The sequence below is a fragment of the Homo sapiens genome, chromosome 5 (assembly GCF_000001405.40).
Source record: "Homo sapiens chromosome 5, GRCh38.p14 Primary Assembly".
In the NCBI taxonomy this organism is placed as follows: domain Eukaryota; kingdom Metazoa; phylum Chordata; class Mammalia; order Primates; family Hominidae; genus Homo; species Homo sapiens.
The window spans coordinates 132,743,905-132,763,971 of record NC_000005.10 but is presented as its reverse complement, the minus strand read 5'-3'; the positions used below and the strand labels follow the sequence as shown (position 1 = coordinate 132,763,971).

At 49.0% G+C, this 20,067-nt stretch overlaps 2 protein-coding genes across 23 annotated transcripts in view, besides 5 other annotated features; one reads left to right on the top strand and one right to left on the bottom strand.

Moving 5' to 3' along the window:
• Positions 1–13,153, top strand: part of SEPTIN8 (septin 8) — a 29,265-nt gene extending 16,112 nt beyond the window's left edge. For 2 of the 17 annotated variants that reach the window (XM_005271931.4, NM_001098811.2), the window contains 7 exons: positions 80–266; positions 1,327–1,488; positions 2,076–2,172; positions 2,346–2,514; positions 2,707–2,839; positions 2,980–3,170; positions 11,791–13,153. In XM_005271931.4, the coding sequence (XP_005271988.1) occupies positions 80–266; positions 1,327–1,488; positions 2,076–2,172; positions 2,346–2,514; positions 2,707–2,839; positions 2,980–3,170; positions 11,791–11,956 (1,105 nt within the window). In that variant the 3' untranslated portion in view covers positions 11,957–13,153. Of the gene's footprint in view, positions 1–79; positions 267–1,326; positions 1,489–2,075; positions 2,173–2,345; positions 2,515–2,706; positions 2,840–2,979; positions 4,036–4,247; positions 7,969–11,790 lie in introns of those variants that run through there. The other 15 variants (XM_047416999.1, XM_017009254.3, XM_017009256.1 and 12 more) reach the window with 8 other exon arrangements.
• Positions 7,907–16,546, bottom strand: CCNI2 (cyclin I family member 2). Of its 6 annotated transcripts, none has more exons than NM_001287253.2 (6): positions 16,048–16,546; positions 15,497–15,628; positions 14,550–14,624; positions 12,975–13,115; positions 11,776–12,006; positions 9,569–11,106 (listed from the first exon to the last, which is right to left on the bottom strand). In NM_001287253.2, exons 1-6 carry the CDS (start codon positions 16,474–16,476, stop codon positions 11,002–11,004), a joined length of 1,113 nt encoding a protein of 370 aa, NP_001274182.1. In that variant the 5' UTR covers positions 16,477–16,546; the 3' UTR covers positions 9,569–11,001. The 6 variants fall into 6 exon arrangements, with proteins under 6 accessions (XP_047273479.1, NP_001274182.1, NP_001274181.1 ...); NM_001287252.2 differs by having other exon boundaries at positions 11,776–12,054; positions 15,497–15,625; NM_001039780.4 differs by having other exon boundaries at positions 15,497–15,625.
• Positions 12,122–12,331: an enhancer, noted in NCBI's record as "active region_23096". NCBI's record gives its function as "activates an Ori minimal core promoter by ATAC-STARR-seq in GM12878 lymphoblastoid cells {active_cell/tissue: GM12878}" and the evidence as "EXISTENCE:reporter gene assay evidence [ECO:0000049][PMID:35858748]".
• Positions 16,184–16,373: a silencer, noted in NCBI's record as "silent region_16335". NCBI's record gives its function as "represses an Ori minimal core promoter by ATAC-STARR-seq in GM12878 lymphoblastoid cells {active_cell/tissue: GM12878}" and the evidence as "EXISTENCE:reporter gene assay evidence [ECO:0000049][PMID:35858748]".
• Positions 16,394–16,463: a silencer, noted in NCBI's record as "silent region_16334". NCBI's record gives its function as "represses an Ori minimal core promoter by ATAC-STARR-seq in GM12878 lymphoblastoid cells {active_cell/tissue: GM12878}" and the evidence as "EXISTENCE:reporter gene assay evidence [ECO:0000049][PMID:35858748]".
• Positions 16,474–16,893: a silencer, noted in NCBI's record as "silent region_16333". NCBI's record gives its function as "represses an Ori minimal core promoter by ATAC-STARR-seq in GM12878 lymphoblastoid cells {active_cell/tissue: GM12878}" and the evidence as "EXISTENCE:reporter gene assay evidence [ECO:0000049][PMID:35858748]".
• Positions 16,984–17,063: an enhancer, noted in NCBI's record as "active region_23095". NCBI's record gives its function as "activates an Ori minimal core promoter by ATAC-STARR-seq in GM12878 lymphoblastoid cells {active_cell/tissue: GM12878}" and the evidence as "EXISTENCE:reporter gene assay evidence [ECO:0000049][PMID:35858748]".

The following is a 20,067-nucleotide window of genomic DNA, read 5'->3' as shown; positions in this document are numbered from 1 at the left end:
GGCCCCGAGCCCTGAGCCCCCCAAGCCCCAAGCCCCTGATCTCAGCTGGCAGCCTCCTGGGTGATGGAGCTGTCTGTAGTTACAGGCCCATAGTTGACTACATCGATGCGCAGTTTGAAAATTATCTGCAGGAGGAGCTGAAGATCCGCCGCTCGCTCTTCGACTACCATGACACAAGGATCCACGTTTGCCTCTACTTCATCACGCCCACAGGGCACTCCCTGAAGTCTCTAGATCTAGTGACCATGAAGAAACTAGACAGCAAGGTATCCCTGTCCCCACCTGCTGTCACAGGCTCCATAGTCTTCTGCTGCGATGCGATGTGGTGGCTGCCTCATGCCTGAACACCATGGTCCTCAGGGACCTGGTCGGGGGCTTGTGGGTGGCCCCCCATTGGCTCGGTCCTCTCTCTGTCTTGCGTCTGTTCCTCCTGCTCCAGTGGCCCCCAATGCTCTGGGCTCATTCTCCAGAGTCCTGTGCCCTGGGTCTGACCCTGAGCCCCTTGCTTGCAGCTGAATCATTCTCATTGTCAGCCCCTCCCGCTCCCGATAGTGTTTGTTCCCCTTCGCTCCAGGGAACCTCCCTTCCCATCTCAGCCTCTTCTCTGCTCATTTTCTATCTCTCAATTCCTAATTTCTAGCTCCTCCTTTCACTTCCCCCTTCCTCCCTGACATAAATGTCCTTTGGTTCCTTCTGAGCCCATCAGGGAGAGGAGAGTTAAGGCCCAGAAATGGGATGTGAATGAGGGGTGGGTACTGTAGGGGTAGAGAAGGGAGGCAGCTTCATGGGAAGGACTGGAAGTGCTGTGCATCTTGAAGGGCATGTGACCCCACATCCCTTGTCAGCTCTCACGTGACTGCCCTCCCATCTCAGGAGTTCATTTTTATTGTAAAAAACGGGATAGCCTGGGCCTGGGAGATTTTGGGATCTTCTTATGGCTACTGCTGATGGGTCCTTTTACCTGCTTAGTGGGGAGCATAGCCCCCCCACCACTCCTTCTGTTAGGCCCCAGGCCAATTAGGACCTTCAAAGGATTCTGGGTCAAAGCTGGGTATGCCTAGGGGGACCAGTTTTGGGGCTGGATGGTGATTTGGGGGAACCAGGGCTGTAAGAAGCACTGCAGCCAATTGTTGAAACTCATCAGAATGGCCACAGGTGGCTGGGTTTGCACTATGGCTGCCCGTGGGAGTGGCTCCATCTCTCTGGCCTCCTTCCCCCTGCCCAGGGATATGGCCTGGGCATGTCTATCCATATCCTGGGCATGGCATGGGAACCACCGCTCAAAAGAGCCAACCAGCCTGCTGTCCCCTCCCCTGATCCTGGCAGGTGAACATTATTCCCATCATCGCCAAGGCTGACACCATCTCCAAGAGCGAGCTCCACAAGTTCAAGATCAAGATCATGGGCGAGTTGGTCAGCAACGGGGTCCAGATCTACCAGTTCCCCACGGATGATGAGGCTGTTGCAGAGATTAACGCAGTCATGAATGTGAGCGTTGGGTGAGGGCCTCAGGGCCCTGGGGCCAGAGGGCGAGGAGCCGGCACAGATCTGACACAGCCCCAGGAGACTCTTGTTCCCCAGGATTCCAGCCTTAGCTTCTCCAGGACAGAAGGGTGGGCATCTGGAGCTGGCCAGTCCTACATCTGTGGGCAGGGGACAGGAAGAATCTGATAGTGGGCCTACACTGGGGACCCCAGGTTTGGGTGTCATAAGATCTGGACTCATGGAGGAGCCTGGAAATGGAAGCAGTTGAGCAGGCTTAAGGGTTTGGGAACCTGGAAGGGAGCCAGGCTCACAGGTCCTTTCAGGAAGCTCTAATGGCCCCTGGGAGGCCCGAGTGCTGAAAGAACAGCCTGGAGAATCAGGAGCACCAGGGAGGGGGTTGAGGGTTCAGCCCACTCCCCTGTTTGGAGTTCTGGGACATTTCTCCAGAAGAGAGCCAGGAAGTAAGCATCTGGCCCTGGAGCCTTTGTTCAGGTCTGGCTGCCCCTCCCTAGGACCCAGGGGCAGGGAGGGAGAGTCTGCCATTAGTCTGTGTCAGCTCAGGGCTTACGCATACCCGGGCCCCTTTCCAGGCACATCTGCCCTTTGCCGTGGTGGGCAGCACCGAGGAGGTGAAGGTGGGGAACAAGCTGGTCCGAGCACGGCAGTACCCCTGGGGAGTGGTGCAGGGTGAGTGTGGACAGGAAATGCATCCTGGGGGTAGAACTGAGTTCCCTGGCCTGCCCTGCTGCCTGTAGTACCCTGTGCTGTTTCCTCCTCATGCCCACCTGCGTGCCTACCCTGACTCTGGAGTGTGCCCGCCTGCATGCCTGCCTGATACCCCACCGGCCCTCTGCTTTCAGTGGAGAATGAGAATCACTGCGACTTCGTGAAGCTGCGGGAGATGTTGATCCGGGTGAACATGGAAGACCTCCGCGAGCAGACCCACAGCCGGCACTACGAGCTCTACCGGCGCTGCAAGTTGGAGGAGATGGGCTTTCAGGACAGCGATGGTGACAGCCAGCCCTTCAGGTGACAGCCTGAGCCAGAGTGAGCCTGTCTTCACAGCTGTGGCCAGACACACCACCCTGGCATCTGTTCCCTGAGGGACCCCACATCCTCTTACCCCTCGTGCCCACATGATTCTACTTCTCTGGCTCTGCCCTGCCCTATCCCATTCCGTCATAATCCCATCCTTGGCCTCTTTTCTCTGGGTCTCCACAGCCTACAAGAGACATACGAGGCCAAGAGGAAGGAGTTCCTAAGTGAGCTGCAGAGGAAGGAGGAAGAGATGAGGCAGATGTTTGTCAACAAAGTGAAGGAGACAGAGCTGGAGCTGAAGGAGAAGGAAAGGGAGGTATGTGCCAGGCTGGGGGCTGGGATGGGGAAGCTGAGGGAGGGAAGGCCTGGCTGAGGGTAGAGGTGGGGGTGCCTTCCTGGCCCAGGCTCAAGCCCTCCTCTTGCTCCCCGCATCTTCTGCCCCCTTTCTGATGCCAGCTCCATGAGAAGTTTGAGCACCTGAAGCGGGTCCACCAGGAGGAGAAGCGCAAGGTGGAGGAAAAGCGCCGGGAACTGGAGGAGGAGACCAACGCCTTCAATCGCCGGAAGGCTGCGGTGGAGGCCCTGCAGTCGCAGGCCTTGCACGCCACCTCGCAGCAGCCCCTGAGGAAGGACAAGGACAAGAAGAAGTAGGTGGCAGGCTGCGCCTGCGCTGGCTCCTCTTGCTCCTGTGGGCTCTTGCTTTCGTTCTTGTCCCTCACCTCCCTTCTCGCTCTCCTGCTCGCCCTCTCTTACCCCTTTCCTGTTTGGTTTTCCCTCATCTTCAGTGGCTCTCCCCCCAGCTTTCTTGGTTGCCTTTTTCTTTCACTAGTGATCCAGTGTCTCGCCGTCTGGATTGCTCTGATACTCATGCAGTCTCACTTGCACAGGCAATCTTGTGCTCCCCCTCCCTCTCCCTTCTCCCTTTTTCTCTCCTTCTCTTCCCCCTTCTTCCTCTTCCTCCAACTTTCTTGCTCACCCATTCGCTCTCCCATAGCCCCCTTGGCAGCTGTGGCCCTGTTGCAGCGTGGTGAAGGTGGGGCTGCACGGGTGAGGAGCAGCGTGGAGAGGGCGAAGCTGCAGGGCTCTGGGAATGCTGGGAATGGTCTTTCAGGCCAGGGGCGGGACAGGACCTGGGAATGTCAGCATCTCCAGCCAGATTCCAAAAGCCGTGGTGGTTTCTGCTTGGACACCTGTGGCGCATCCCTCCTCAGTCTGTGGGGCAGTGGTGTGGAGCCCGTATTGGCTGGCAGGTGGTGATGGAGAACTGCGGGCACTCGCGCCAGCCAACACTGGCCTCCTGGAGACTGGTCACCACACAGCTGTTCTGAAGGGCCCGCAGGGCTTAAGGGAGGAAAGCGGCTTCCCACAGGGGCTCTGTGGGTTCTTTTGGGGAGAAGAGCTGCCCCTCAAGTAGAGGCTGGAGTTGTTCCTGCAGAGTGGAGAGAGGAGAGAAAGACTGGATGGCAGGGAGGCCTTTCCCAGCACCAGGAGTGCAGTCAACGGAGTAGTCAGGTGGGGACAACTATGAGTCACTTCTCCCTGGCGATCTTCATAGCCTGTTTCCACACCCTTAGCTGGAGTCCAGATGTCCTGGCTTCTGGGGCTCACCCTCGCCCACCCACCTCATTCACAGCCATGCTATGTCACACTGTGGGGATCCCATCCATCCCTGCTTCTCCCTGCCCCGGCCTATCTTGGGTACCATCCTTCTCTTGCCAACCTAGGAACTAAGCAGGTGAACCCAACCTGGCCGTCATTCTCGGGATCCATTTCCTCCTGGGATATTTGGGGATGTGTATGCCCAGGCCCTTCCTTCCTTGGTGGCAATGGAGCCTAGCCATTAGGGCCAGCGGGAGTCTGTGACCCAGGTACTGGCACCCAAAGTGACTTTGCCCTGCTTCCTGCCATCTTGTTAAAGAAAAGGTAGCCAGGATTCCCTAGGAAATAAGCTGTGGAGAAACCACTCAGCAACTGCAGACAGGGGTCTGTGGCCAGTTCAGGGTCTGAGGGCCAGTGAAGGTGGGTGCAGGCAGGCTGAAAGGACACCAGCACAGCCCTCGGGGTGGGGGCTTGTCACTGGTGTCTGGTCTCCCTGCTTTTCCCATGTGGCCTGGGCTCCATGATACGTTCTCCAGGCCTGGGCCTGGAAAACAGGTCTTTCCTGTTCTCTGGACCTGCTAGAAAGCTTCAGTCAGTTTGGTCCCTGGGAGAGAAAACGCTCTTCCCATGACGGCTCTGTGGAGGCCAGGAATGGGGTAGGTGGGTTGACTGGGAGTACTCCTTCCTGCCGCCCTGGTCAAGGGACTAGTGTGAGTCGGGAGTGCATTTTTGGAATGGGGGCAGGGGTGTTTTTCATGACCATTTATTTGAGTGGTTTTGATTGGTTATGCATACTCTTTAAATTTGAATCCAAATTTTTTGCAAAATTACTTCCCAATCAGATCTTGACCCTTAGCCTGGGACACCACAAACTGAGGTGAATTCTCTGCTTTGCTCGTCACAAATGCCAAACTGACTGCCCTTTCACGGTGTCCATCTTGCTGTCTTTTGCTTCTGTTTGATTTGGTCTGCATATCTTTTAATGTGTCTGTTTTTGTTTTGTTTGTTTTATTTTTATTTTTCAGTTAACGCACGCACAGACTTACATGTCAAGAGTGGACTTTAGACTTTCATGTGTTAAGTTGCTTGAGTTACACCTTGTGACCCTTCTCCCATAACATGGTGTGAGGACGGACTGGGAGCCGGTACAGACTCCAGTGTTTACAGCCTTGCTTTCCTCCCACCGACCCTGGCCCCAGGCTGCCCCGGGCCTGGCGGGCCACCCCTCTCTATGCAAACACGTAAAAGCCATGAATGCTGGAATCCAAAACTGACGAGGTTTATTTTTTTCAGAGCCAGTGGCTGGTCTTCCATTTACAGTGTCACTATTCCCTGACGGAGCTGTTATGTGCCGCTCTAGCGAAGGCCCCAGCCGGGATGCTAGGCCTAATTGTTCAGCGTGGAGATGGCAACTCACGTGGTGCCCTAGGTGCAGCTGCGTGGTCTGGTATACATGCTGCAAAATTCACCCAGTTCCCCTCATTTTAATTTTTCTAACCTACAGCTTAATTTTAATAACTTTAAAACACTTCTAAATATTTATTTTGGCACCAGCGTCAAGACAAATAATATCCTCTCCCATTATTTTCATAAGTAACACAGATTCCCTGATTTTTAAAAACTAAAAATACAGCTAAACCTTTCTTATGTATAAAGTATGCCTATCATATACAGGGAGAGGTGGGTAATAAACTTCCTGTAATGACAGTGTTTGGCATTTCTTTATGGATGGAATTGGAACATGAACAAGACCATGTCCAGCGTTTTTACTGTGAATGTAAATGGAACAGCAGCCCAAAGCTGTTGTCTGTGCCCCAGAGGTGCTACCTGTAGACAGGGACCAACTCCATGTGTGTGTGTTAAGTGTTTGACTCCAATTAAGACTCCCAAGCAAATCCTGCATATTCCAAATGTAAAGAGTACTCAGTGGGAAAAAGGTTGTTACCTCAAAGTCATTGCTTCTTTCCTGGCTGGGTCACAGGGTGAAGAGATGAAGGTGTCTGATGTATATAGACAATTAGGGAAAAATGAGCGGCAAAGGAGCTTTCCCCTTCAGCTGCACTCTAAAGGGGAACATTTTAAGGAAGTACTAGCAGCTTTGACTCTTCTATGCTCCTGTTGGTTTACAAGCCACCAAGAATGTCAGTGTTGAGAATACGGCCTGGTAAAATGGGAGATGTAAAATGACTAAATGAAAGGAAGGGTAGTTTTAATGTTGAAGCACCGTGCTGGGCACTGGAGCTACCCAGAGGAATGCACAACGCTCCCCTCAAGGAGCTCACAGTCTAGCCTACTCCCTGGCTGGAAGCCTCAGGAAGACGTGCTAATTTATTGTGGAATTGGTAGTTTGCTTTTCATGCCCCTGTCTTCCTTCTCATGACCATTTCCCCCTTTCTGTCTGGCTTGCATTATTGATTTCCAGGACCAAGTCCTGGCTTCCTCCTGCCTTCCTGAGATGATGTTCTGCTCAGGGAGAAGTGGAGGGGTGAGCTGTGTGTGTCCACCGAGGCACGGCCAGGAAGAGGCAGCCTTTACCTGTGAGGGGCTCCATGCTCCAGCAGCAGAGCAGGTTCTAGTGACAATTCAACTTTTTATGCTATGACCAGGGGTGGATCTAAATTTTATGGGGCTGAAAGCTTGAATTATTTAGAAAGACTTCTTTAAGAAAAACAATGTTAATATAAAATTAGGTACAGGGTCTTGGAAGGGGCCCTGAAGATTAAGCTTCCTTAGCGTCACAATAAGTCCGTATCTGGTTGCAATTGAAAACTGATGCTTCAGTGAGGGTATCTAAAAAGGTAAACTGGCATATCCAGGGCAAATGTGGGCTGCCAATGGCTCATCTCTAGGGTAATTTTATGTCTGAAAGTGTATGCAGTTGGGTCAGAGCATGACCTTTAAGATAGCCTCTCTCAGCTAACATATTTATGAAGATGAGGCCTGGTGACCCAGCAGGTTCATTGGATACATAAGAAATGAGAATTCCTGGTTCATGGGCCAACCTAGGACTCTGGAGTATGCAGACTTGGCCATTCGTCCATTGTGGCCTGCGGGTCGCACCCCAGGCATACTGAAAGGCCATACTCGTGGCTGGCTGCCTGCGGGCCTAAGCCTTCCCAGGATCTTCAGGACACTTGACAGACTTGTGTTTTCTGGTCTGAGCTGCCTCCACAGGTCCCTCCAGCAAGCCTCACTGCACCTCTCCCCTGCTGTTTGTGTTTGGAATTTTGTCTTCTTTAGCTGAGACCAAATTAAACCTTGGTGCATAAAGTGAGCTTAAAACTTGCCACTGTTTAGTAAGTTAGCCCCCATAGAATGTGACCCTGTCTGCAGAGTCTCATTTACCCCTCTTTTTCTCATTGTCATTTGTTGGCTTTATTAGGGCTGTCTTACAGGATCATGTTGGCATTTACTATCATGTCTTTATCATAAACCATGTTTGTTTGAGGTAGAAGAATCACCATATAATTCGTTGCCCAAATTGGGACTATTGAGAGAGAAAGGGGATGCTATTAATTACACCAGATCAAAAGGCATAAACCAGACCTGTCCCAGGCCGATGTGGAAATATGTTCTTTCTAGTTGTGGGTACCCTGATCTAGGTGGTTTGTAATTGTGCATTACTGACTGCATATGTTTGTGTATGTGTAAATGTGGGCTCCCTGTTAAGTGGGGCTCATGGATACGAGGCCTGAGGAAGTGTGGCTTGCTAGTCTGTTACGTTAACATGCTTTTCTAAAATTGCTTCACGTGTTAATTCATTTACTCCTGCATTCATTGACTGTTTTTGTTCTTTTCCATTCACTTTGTACTTATTTTTTTCATTAAATTTTGCATTTATTTTGAGTTTTTGTGGTGTCTTTTTTGGGCAGTAGCTTTTCTGATTTAACGTTTCCTGAGCCCATTAATCTGCTACAACTGTGGTAAAATACAGCTTGTCTGTTCTTTGAATTTTGTGGAGGTTGATCTACTTCTGTAGGAATTGTTTTAATAGGAAACCCTGCTACAGACATCTGTGAAAGGCTCTTGCATAGGTGGGGGATGGAGGGAAGAGTCACAGGAAAGTTACAGGAAGGTAAAGGGGCAGCCTGTGGTCCATGAATCTTTATTGGTTAACTGGGTGCAGGACATGAGAAAAGGGGCACCTGCCCTTGAGGAGTGTTCCTCCTTAACACAAAGGCTTGCCACGGGACTACTAATATTCGAGTGCCAGGACTGCTCGGAACCATATTACATGCATTAACTCCTCTAATCCTCATCCTAATCCTATGATTAGGGACCATTCATCCCCATTTTATAGCTGAAGCACAGAGGTTTAAGTAATTACCCAAGGTTACATGGCAAGTAACTGGAGAAGTTGAGATTTGAACGCTGGTAGTCTGTACCCTTAAATCCTGAGCTACACCTGCTCCTTGGCATCTCAATGGAATGATGGAAGAGTAGTGAAAGTGTGGCTAGTGTTAAAGTACACAGCCTGATGGTGTGGGCTGGTGGACCTGAGACTGTTTTTTAGAGGTAGAAAGCCCTAGGGGACAGGCAAAAGTGGCTGAGGAAGAGCAGACTGGTGAAAAGAAGTGATAAAAAGTATGTGGGTTTGTTTTTTAAGGAGCTTTCTCCATTGAGCACTAGGTAGGTTTGGGAAGACCAAAATGAGAAAATGGGGACCCCTGCAGGGAGAGTGGTATGAACACATCCCTAATGCAGGCATAGCTCAGCTCTACTTGTGCAGGCAGCAGGGAGGCAAAGTAAAGTATTCACCAAGCTTTGAAGGACAGAGACTCTCCAGGAAGCCAGGGGGAGGAGGGCCTCCTAGGTGGTGGAAACATCATCAAATGACTTGGCTCATTCATTTCAGGGAAGTACTGTTTGGACAAGTTTAAGACAGGTCTATGATGCTCCCCCTGCCCTGTTCCTCCCTGAGCCCACCTACCTTTCTTTCTGCCATAGCATCTGCCTCTGAGCTTTTTCCATCTCCATTTTCTTCAGCCTCATTCCTTCACCAATCCCTGCCTTTCAATAGCTGGGGTCAAAAGGAAAATAGATTGTATCCATATTTCTCCCTGAGAAATGTTTCCCAATCTCTGAGTTGAGGTGGGATAGGAGTTCCTAATGTCAGAAAAGAATATTAGAGGGAAGTAGGATGGGACCTGGGGCCCCACGGCAAGCTTGAAAAGCACATAAGATTTTTAAAAATCCACGAGTGGGACTTCGGCAATACAAAAGTGAGCTTCCCTATAGAAGAGTTCTATCATTTATAGAAAGCCAGAGCAGAAGGTTGTCTCTTACCCCAGTCCTAGGACTCACATGTCTACCCTCTGCTTTCTCCAAGAGGTTTGAGTTGGATCAGCTCTCAGAATCCAGCTCACATCCATAGCCACCTGGTTAAGCAGCAGATGTCTTCCAGCAGTTCCCCTAAAGCCTGGGATGCCTAAACTGGTATGGGCCCTCAGGATGTCCTTCTGCCTCATGCACTGTGGTCCCACTTACACTGGAAGGAAGGAGGCAGAGGGCACTCAACGGCCACCACTGGAAGCTGTGAGCAGCATGGCCTCAGCATCTCCATCTGTAAAATGGGTTCTGGACTAGAGGAGAGTTCTTGATATGACCTAGGAGATAGTGTTCCAAATGTATCTGACTCTCGCAAGGCTAAATGCATGGTAGCTCAAAATAAGACTCATACAGGATCGGAAGCAATTAAAGTGTAATTTTAACGAAAGCACCAACAAGCAAAAGTGTGTCAAGAAAAAATACAGATGTATACTAACTCTATAATATAGACAATTATAGTATATCTGGCCCTTGACCACTTTGCACCTAGTAAATCTTTCCCCTCCCACCCCATGGCTTAGCACATTTACACAAACACACCAAAAAAAAAAAAAAAAAAAAAAAACCATAGTTCACAGTGGAAGACTTCACAAACCACCTCTGAATGTGTGGCTCAGTCATTCATGCCCCCAACACAACTTACACAGCCCCAGCTGGCATCTTTGTCAGCTGCACTCCCCTGCTTAGAGAATGGCTCTGTGGTAGCACAGCATGAGAGAGGCAGCCGGCTCCTCCTCCTGGCAGCACTGTGGTTGGAGCAGGCTTGGCCTCAGAACCTGCTCATCCCAACAGAAAGCATTCAGAGCTGTGCCTCCCATCACAGGTGTTAGCCTATAATACCCATTCATTAGCACAAAATCCCTCTAGTTAAACTAATAACTGAAACCACTTTGCTTAAGAGTAACAAAGGAAAGATATGCCTAAAGCTTGCTCAAGTTACATTAAACAAAGCATACTTTATAATCCAGTCCTTGTAAAGGGAAGACATAAGTCATAGCCATGGTTGGGTAAATGCATCTGCAGAGACTGTCCCATGTGAGGAGTGGCAGGCAGGGTAGTTGGGACTGGAAGCACCACATATGTGTTTGGGATAAGCCTGGGAAGTTGGAAGGACCTGGCCAGCTCTGGCAGGTAGAGCAGCAAGAACTGGTCAGAGCTAGCCCCAGCCCTTCAGCCCTGAGCCAGGCCTGCCTCTTGGTTTCATATTCCAGCGCTCCCAGGGGCCAATGCCAACCCTTGCTGGAGAAGGAAGGTAAAACAAGCTGCCATTTGAACATTCATTCATACTCCCTGGCTTCAGGCCCAGAGGAGAAAAAGGGAAGACAGGGTCATAGTCTATCAGACCACCCTGACCTCTACTGACCTCAGCCTGCCTTTCCCCTCTCCCCTTTATTTTTTTTCCAAGGGCTCAGTTGGGAACTTTTTCTCAGTTGCTCTTCCAGAGCCACCTTCCCTTTTTACAGGATTCATAACAAGCCAAAGAACTCATGGTAGTCCAAGCAAGGAGGTTTCACACTATGCTCTGAAAGCCCCGGGGTGGAGGCAGAGGGGCTAGTTGGCAGGTGACACAAAGTTGTCTGTGCAGGAGGATGACTGAAGACTTCTCAGTTGCTGCATTACAAGTTCCTTGCAGCAGCTGTACTGCATATCACCAACCTGTATTAGAATAGAGTGGCCATCTTCAAGCAGAACCATCATACATTCTAAGAAATTGGCAATTGAGTGCCAAAATGTTAGCATGAAGCAAGTTCAGGAAGGTCCAACCACCCAACTAAGGACCACTAATCCTACCATCTCAGGGACATCCATTTCCAACCTCAGTAAAGTTGTCATTAGTCTAACTATGCATTCCATCCTAACCTATCTGTTCTGAGGGATTCTGACACACCCCTCTCCTCCTTGTGCCCCCACAATGCTTGCCTCATGGTACCCCTGTACCTGGTACCACACACTCATACAAAGGAGAGGTGAAGGAGTTTAGAATTTATGCTCCTCAGTATTAAGCTCAGGGTTGCTTCCTCCTAAGCCAGACATACCCCTGACTCCCCACAGTCCTCTTGGCTACAAGGGCTCCCATTGAGATAAAGATTCTCTCACTCTCAGAGACCACCCCCATTGGTCCAGTGAAGGGAACACATGTCCCATCTCAAGTGCATAGAGCGTGACCAAGTGTGGAAAGCCTAGCCTTTGGGCAGACTCTTTCCAGGGTTATGGCCAGAACATTTTCCAGAGGCTACAAGGGCAAAGGGTACCCCTTTGGGGTCAGAGTGTGTCAGCTAAAGGGGCAAAACACAGAGCCTGGTCTGGGGCAAAGTTGATGTCTACCTGTGCTTTCTTTAGCAGATCAGATATAGGAGCACACCAGCCGGGCATGAGCCTCTCCAGCTCTAAGGTGATGATGACCAAGGCCAGTGTGGAGCCCTTGAACTGCAGCAGCTGGTGGCCCGCCATACAGTGCTGCAGCTGCCTGGTCAGGGATGCGACGTGGAGGGAAGGATTCCTCTGAGGCAGCAGCTCCAACACATGGGGCCAGCTCAGGACCACCAGGGCATGGAACTGGAGACCATGGTTTTTAATGTTAGAACAGAAAACGCCATACTTTTCCTATATCAATGATCAAAAGTGCAAACAATTTAAATTTCCATCAGGGAACATCAAATGTTGCCCAACCCTTTTCATTCCTATCCATGGCTCCGTAAGGGGCTTGAGGCTTAATGCCCATCCTGTGGCCAAGCTGAGCTTCCACTCCGGGACCAAAAAAAAAAAAAAGTCTGCTTTGTGACATCATCGTTATGAGCGGAAAGTACCTAGATGACAATGTTTCCATTCTGAAAAATAGAAACATACTATTCAAGACCAAGGTAGCAGAAAAGTTACTTGTATCTGCTTATCATAAGACGAAACTCTGCAACTTGGCAACGGTGGCCAGTTTTCGTAATGAAACAGTCTTTAGTAATTTAATCTTCATGCTTCATAACAAACCAAAACCCCATGAGATTTCCACATTGCATAATTTTGCCTTACTAACAGAATCATATCCTTAAGGATGACCATCATTCCCCCAACTAAAACAAATACAAACTAATGTATGATATTTTTTTAAGTGCCAGATCAATATGGTCTAAAGCTTCAATAAGGATTGTGTGTAGGTGAATAAAGACAGCTAAGTGAATGTGTGTAAAGTGTAGCAAAAGCAGACAGATATTTATGTACAGTATTCATAGAATGGAAAGTTAAATATTTTTGCAGTGTGTATTTAAAAGAGAAACTCACCATAATAGTGCCGTCTAAAAATCTTTGTAAAGTTAATTTAATGTCCTTTAGAAGTGGGAGTCTGGTGGAACTGTGTTGGATTTAAGATACCTTTTCACTCTTCCGTATGTCATGAGCCTTGTGCGTCACCTCACTGTGGTGCATGTGCAAGGGCGTGTGCACGCCTGTGCTTTGCCATCCCATGTTGTAAACAGCTGTTCCAAAGGCACAAACGAGTTTAGGGTAGACTCTGTAAACACCTCCTTACTCACTATAGTCAAGAAGTCCAGCGGCGTCCCAATATAGAGGTCCCAGTGCAGTCTGTCCAGAATAGCCAGCTCCATCCTCAGCAGCTCATTCGGGGAATAGTCAGAGCCATAGTGCTTTGTGAAGTCTTTTACTTGTGGAATAAACTGTAAAAAGAAAATAAAGAGGCCAAAGCCCTACATCATGTCATAGTAGCTTTTGTTTTCTTACCCATGGGGACTGGGCATTCATGACCTTAGTGGAGTTGTCTTCCTGTGGCCTGCCACAGAAAATGCTTCTGAAAGAAATACTAAACCAGATCTTGGCTATCTGTCAAATCCTCAGGTAGTTATGTAGTGAACATCACATGGTCCCCCTCTGAAACCGGGTCTTGATCCCCCAGCTGCATGCTAGCTCATACCCAAAGGTGCTTTGGAGGCTGGGGCTGTGCCATCTCCCCTGTTCAGCTGCAAGAACTCACCCCAAGCTTTCCAGGAGCCATGGGTTCTGCCTCTCCCTATTCCTGATCCCTACCGTGGGTACTGGGCATAGAGAAAAAAACTATGCTTTTGAGCTTCCTAGTCTGTACCAGACACATTGATAAAACCTCCTATGGGTTTTTTAGCATCGCAACTGCAAACACATTTCCTTCAACCTTGATTGAAGGTGGTTCAGTTCTGGAAAAACTATGGCTTTTCCCACAGAGGGACTAATGAGGCTTGTCTATGAGTAAACATTTGAGTACCAAGTACATTAAAGGCTTGATCCTATGTTTTTAGATAAACAGAAGTATTACTATAACCTCCAGAAAAAGGGTCACTTGATTTTTAGTTGGACAAAAGCAACTTGGGCATTAATTCTATTCTAATAAACAGGAGTTTAAAACATTTTTATTGAAGGTTTGGAACTGGACACACAACTTCTTCCCTGCCTCCTCAGACCCAGAGATCAGCTAAGGGTGACCCCCGTGGCAATGGCAGTGATTTCACCATCCCCAAACTGGGAGAAGTTGGAGGGAGGTAGGAAAGCTTGGAAAGGGTATTAGGAGATGATCTCCTCCTGAACAGATGCCACAGTGAAATTCAGCCATCCAGCCATGCCTGAAATGCTCATGGGCCCCTTGTACTTTACCCCCAGCACATGGCCCTCCTGTCCCTCTCAGGGGTCCCAGAGTTCCCAAGGACCAGCTTCATTGACACAGCCAAGTCCTCAAGTCTCAAGCAGCTTTCTTAGACATAATTGCTTGGGGTGGATGTTAAGTCACATGGTTTGGGAGGCCTTTTTCCTTGCTCAACAGCAGATGCCCCTGTTTAGAGAGAGGTAGCATCTGTCATCAACCAGTGAGGCCAGATGTATCTGTCAAGAGTTCAGGTCTCTAGGTTTGGTGGGCCAGGACAGTTCAGCTGCTCTACTTGTTCATTTGTGGGGTCTCAAAGCCTGACAAGCCGATGGAAGGGATAGCAGAGATGCCGGCAAGTTGGTGACTTTTTCAAAACATCCACCATACCTAAGGGCACAGACCTATCAGGAAACTGGAGTCCTCCAATGTTACACCCCTATACCTCAAGTGCAGCCCAGTGTGGACTTCCAAGGATGCATACCTCCTCTTCTTCATTAACTTTTGCAGCGAGCCTCAAGGAAGTAATTGTGGCGCAATGCAGGTATTTCTCTTTTACCTGCAGTATGGAACAAACACATTTGAGCAGAATATGAATGCCAGAAACAAACTGAAAAGCATCTGTGTTTGTTTTCTTTTATACACTTTTTTGACATGGAGTCTCACTCTGTTGCCCAGGCTGGAGTGCAGTGGCATGATCTTGGCTCACTGCAACCTCCACCTCCTGATTTTGAGCGATTCTCCTGTCACAGCCTCCTGAGTAGCTAGGACTATAGGGGCGGGCCACCACACCTGGCTAATTTTTGTATTTTTAGTAGAGACAGGGTTTCACCATGCTGGCCAGGATGGTCTCCAACTCCTGACCTCAAGTGATCCACACCCCTTGGCCTCCCAAATTGCTGGGATTACAGGCGTGAGCCATTGCGCCCAGCCGTTTGTTTTAATAAGCTTTTTTTTCCCATTTTTAAAAGGCTCAATTTCTCCACAAGACAGAATGTTAGTGCCGTTTTTAGATCTGACCAACGAAGATGCTCCTGATTTCAGAACTGCAGATGACTGGGCAGTATTCCTTCATTTCGGGACTGACTGGAGGTGGGAAATATGGCACCTTCTCAGGGAACCCAGTCTCATCCTAGCCTCAAGCTGCCCTCGACAGGTCGAGACAAGCACATCCTACCTCATTACACAGGAAGCCCTTTCCCAGCTAGGTCCTCTCACGCTCCCCAAGTCCAATCCTGATGACTACATGACCCTGAGACAGCCAGTGTAGGATGTGGAGAGGTTCCAACACCAGCTCTTCCACTCGGAGCAAGTTAGTTTATACACCTTGGTTTTGAGCATCTGGAAACCCTCACCTCTCAAGCAGGAATGGGGAGCAAAGGTTAGTTTCTTCTCTCACCATCTGCCACCGTCCCTCAGAGGCCTCCCTACCTTCACTGAAATCAGGAGGCGGCCAAAGATGGTGAGGGCCAGGTTAAAAGTGGACTGGGAGAAGTAAAAGGTGTTCTGAAGCCGCAGGAGCCACAGCACGACTTCCTCGAAGGCGTCGCAGATTTCATCCTGCTAGGAAGAAGAGCAGGTGGGGCGAGGAAGGTCGCTAGCGGCCACTCCTGGTCCCCCAGCAGCAGGAGCCTCCTGCTTAAGGTGCGGGGGGTGGGGCAGTGAGAAGTCCCTTCCTCTGCATGCCCGCTGGGAGTAAGCGCCCCCCGGCGCAGCGGCTCACCCATCACCCCCACCCCTCGCGCCCACTTTTCGTCGTAGGCTGAGTTCCTTGATTCAAACAGGCCCTCTTCCGAAGGCCCTGCTAGCAAGACGCCCTCCTAGAGAGAAGCTGGTGGATCCAGCCTCGTGCCTCTCGTGAGGGGCCACACCTGGGGAAGGGCCCGGCCTCCAGTTTCAGAACACCCGAGCGCGGGTGCAGGTGGAGGCCACATCCGCCTGCCGTGCACGCGCGAGGAGGGCCACGCGGCAGCGACGGGTACCTGGGGTTTGCCGCCCCGCCACAGGCGCGCCTCGCGGTCCTGGGCCAGCTGCAAGTGGCAGAGCAGCCGGCGCTCGTCCAGGTCGCCTTCCAGGTTGCGCGGCTTGCGGGACTGTGGAGCCGGCCGCGGAGCTTGCTCTGGGGCGGCGGCGGGGACCGCGTCTGCGGTTTTCCCGGCTGGCGCCGTACCGCGCCGGGGCCGCACGGGGACTGCTGCGGACGCCGCGTGGAGGGAGGCCGCTCCGGGCTGGCGGGTCCCAGGGCACCTGCTCCGGTTGCTTCGGGGCAGAGGGGCCTCCCCCGGAGACGGCGGGAGAGGAACGCCCAGGGCTGTTTCCTCCAGACCGGCGCCGGGACGCCCGCCTGGGCTCTGGACGGCGCTGACCTCTGAGCTCGACGGCTGCGGCGGGAGCTGAGCGCCCGAGGCCATGTCGTGAGCGGGATCCTGAGTCTGAGTTGCCGCTTAACCCGGCATTTTATAACCCAGCTCCCGGAACACTGCAGCCTGGGGCGCCGCCGGGGGAGGTGGGGAGGCGGGCTCGGCGGGCCCCACCCACAACGCTCGCGGTGGAGCTACCTCTGGCGCACCGGGCCGCGCCTCGCCTCCTGGGCACTCGCCCCGCGGGTGGGCGGCGCGCACCCAGGATGCGGCAGGACTGGGCGCGCACAGGCGGGTGGCGGACCCCCTCCCTTCCCTCCATCCCCGCTGCTGCCTAGCGCACGCCTCCTCCCCCCTGCCGGCCGTGCTCCCTGAGCAGAGCCCCCAGCCAGGGGTGGGGCGGCTGGAGACTGCGCCCGCCTTGGGCCAGGACTCCCGGACACAGACCCTGGGTCTTACCTCACATTACACACTTGGGGACACAAGACCAGGTAAAGAAGCAGCGAGAGCGCCCTCCTCAGACAGGCTTGAAATGGAATTCCAGACGCGCTGTGTGATCTCATGCATGTGTCGTGACCTCTCAGAGCCTTGGCTACCTCTTCTCCGAAAAAAAAAGTGATAATACCTCCCTCACAAGGTGATTCATTCATATACATATATGTTTATGTATCTATACATACATATATAGCTATAAACGTATAATAAGGAAAATCATACAAATCATATATATGTATACACATACATACATAAATTTTAGGGGTGGATCTTGCTATGTTGCCCAAGCTGGAGTGCAGTGGCTATTCTCAGGTGTGATCGCAGCACACTACAACCTCAAACTCCTGGACTCAAGCTACCCTCAACCTCAGCTTCTCAAGTAGCTGAGACTTACAGGTGCACACCACCACACCTGGCTCCTAAGTTATATTTTGTTTAAAAAATTCATTACATTAAATGTATATTAAAAATATATGGGAATACCAGAAGGACAAGAAAGAGAGGAACAGAAGAAATATTTGAAACAATAACGACTGAGAATGAATATTTCCAAATTAATGCCAAACACCAAACCACAATTCTAGGAAGCTCTGAGAACATTAAGCAAGATAAATGCCAAGAACTACACCTAGACATTCCTATTTAAACCGTAGAAAATCAAAAGAAACTATCAACAGAGTCAGCAGACAACCTATAGAGTGGGAGAAAAGTATTAGCAAAGTAAGCATTCGACAAAGGTCTTAATATCCAGAATCTGTAAGGAATTTAATTAAACAAGCAAAAAACAACCCCATCAAAAAACAGGCAAAAAGACATGAATAGACTTCTCAAAGGGAGATATACAAGTGGTCAACAAACATGAAAAAATGCTCCACATCACTAATCATCAGAGTAATGCATCTCACACCAATCAGAATGGCTACTATTAAAAAGTCAAAAACCAACAGACGCTGGTGAGGCTGCAGGGAAAAGGGAATGCTTATACACTGCTGGTGGTAATGTAAATTAGTTCAGTCACTGTTGAAAGCAGTTTAGAGATTTCTCAAACAACTTAAAACAGTACTATTCAACCCAGCAGTCCCTTTACTGGGTATATACGCAAAAGGAAAATAAATTGTTCTACCATAAAGACACATACATTTGCATGTTCATCACAGTACTAGTCACAGTAGCAAAGACATGGAGTCAACCTAGGTGCCCTTCAGTGATCGACTGGATAAAGAAAATGTGGTACATATACAATATGGAATACTATGTAGTCATTAAAAAGAATGAAATCATGTCCTTTGTAGCAAACATGGATGAAGTTGGAAGCTATTATTCCAAGCAAATGAACACAGGAACAGAAAATTATATACTACATGCTCTCACTTTTAAGCGAGCATTGAGTACACATGGACGTAAAGATGGCAACAGTAGACACTGGAGGCTACCAGAGCGGGGAGGGAAGGAGGGGACAAGGGTTGGATAACTATGGGGTACTGTGCTCAGTACCTGGGTGACAGGATCATTCATACCCCAAATATCAGCATTGCACAATATACCAGAATCTAAAATAAAAGTTGAAAAAAGCCTGCAGGAAATCAAGATTAAAAAAAAAAAATCTCAAAAGAAGCTGGCCTGTAATCTCAGCACTTTGGGAGGCTGAGGTGGGCGGATCACTTGAGGTCAGGAGTTCAAGACCAGCCTGGCCAATATGGTGAAACCCTGTCTCTACTAAAAATACAAAATTAGCCAGGTGTGGTGGCACATGTCTGTAGTCCCCGCTACTCAGGAGGCTGAGGCACAAGAATCGCTTGAATCCAAGAGGTGGAGGTTGCAGTAAACTGAGATCATGCCACTGCACTCCAGCCTGGGTGACAGAGGGAGACTCCATCTCAAAAAAAAGAAAAGAAAAGAAAAAAGAAAGAAAGAAAGAAAGAAAGAGCAAGCAAAGCTGGGAGCAGGAGCTGGGTAGGATGAGGTGGAAATAAGATAAGGTGGGATAAGGATAAGAATCACATTGGACTTGTCTTCGGAAATCATGCAAGCAAGAAGAGAGTGGGGTGAAATATTTAAAATTTTGAGAGAAAACCCCCACCATCCTAGAATTCTGTATTCAGTGAAATTATCCTTCAGAAGTGAAAGAGAAATACTTTTACAAACAAAATTGAAGGTATTTCTCACCAGTAGACCTGCTTTGCAAGAAATGTTAAAAGAAATTTTTCAGAGAGAAGGAAAATGATATAGGTCATAAATTTCGACATAAAGAAAGAACTTTAAGGAATAAGTGAAAGTAAAATAAAACTTTTGTTTTTCTTATTCCTAATTGATCTAATAATCATTTATTCAAAATAATAATAATGTATTTGATGATTGTAGGTTATGGATAAGTTGAATGAATGACAATAATGATACTAGCCATGAGAGGGAAGAATTAAGAATACTTTGTTTTAAGTTACCTGCATTACCTGGAAAGCAGTATAATGTTACTTGAAAGTGGACTTGAATTAGTTATAAATGTATATTGCCAACTCTAGGGCAACCAGCAAAAAAAGTTTTTAAAAAGTATAATTCATATGCACTAAGAAAGGAGAGAAAATGGAATCATATAAAATGCTAATAACACCAGATGGTAGCTTGAATCCACAGGAAACAAGGAAGAGAACGAGAAATAATAAGAAGATTAATATTACAAATTATAAATATAAACTTGGCTCTGTTTTCTTCTCTCGGCTACTTTGGAAGATTTAAAATACATAAAATTTTATAACATAAAGTTATAACAAAGTATTGTTTGGTTTATAACATGTAAATGTAATCCATATAACAATAATAGCACAAAAAGAGGAGGAGGGAATAGAGCTATACGGGAGTTACATTTATATATGTCACTGGAATTCAATTATTATAACTCTGAAGTATTATAGATTCTGATAAGATCTATATTGGAAGCCCTAGAGCTTTTTTTTTTTTTTTTTTTTTTTTTTGAGACGCAGTTTCACTCTGTCACCCAGGCTGGAGTGCAGTGACGTGATCTCAGCTCACTGCAACCTCTGCCTCCCGGGTTCAAGCGATTCTCCTGCCTCAGCCTCCCAAGTAGCTGGGACTACAGGAGCCCACCACCATGCCCAGCTAATTTTGTATTTTTAGTAGAGACGGGGTTTC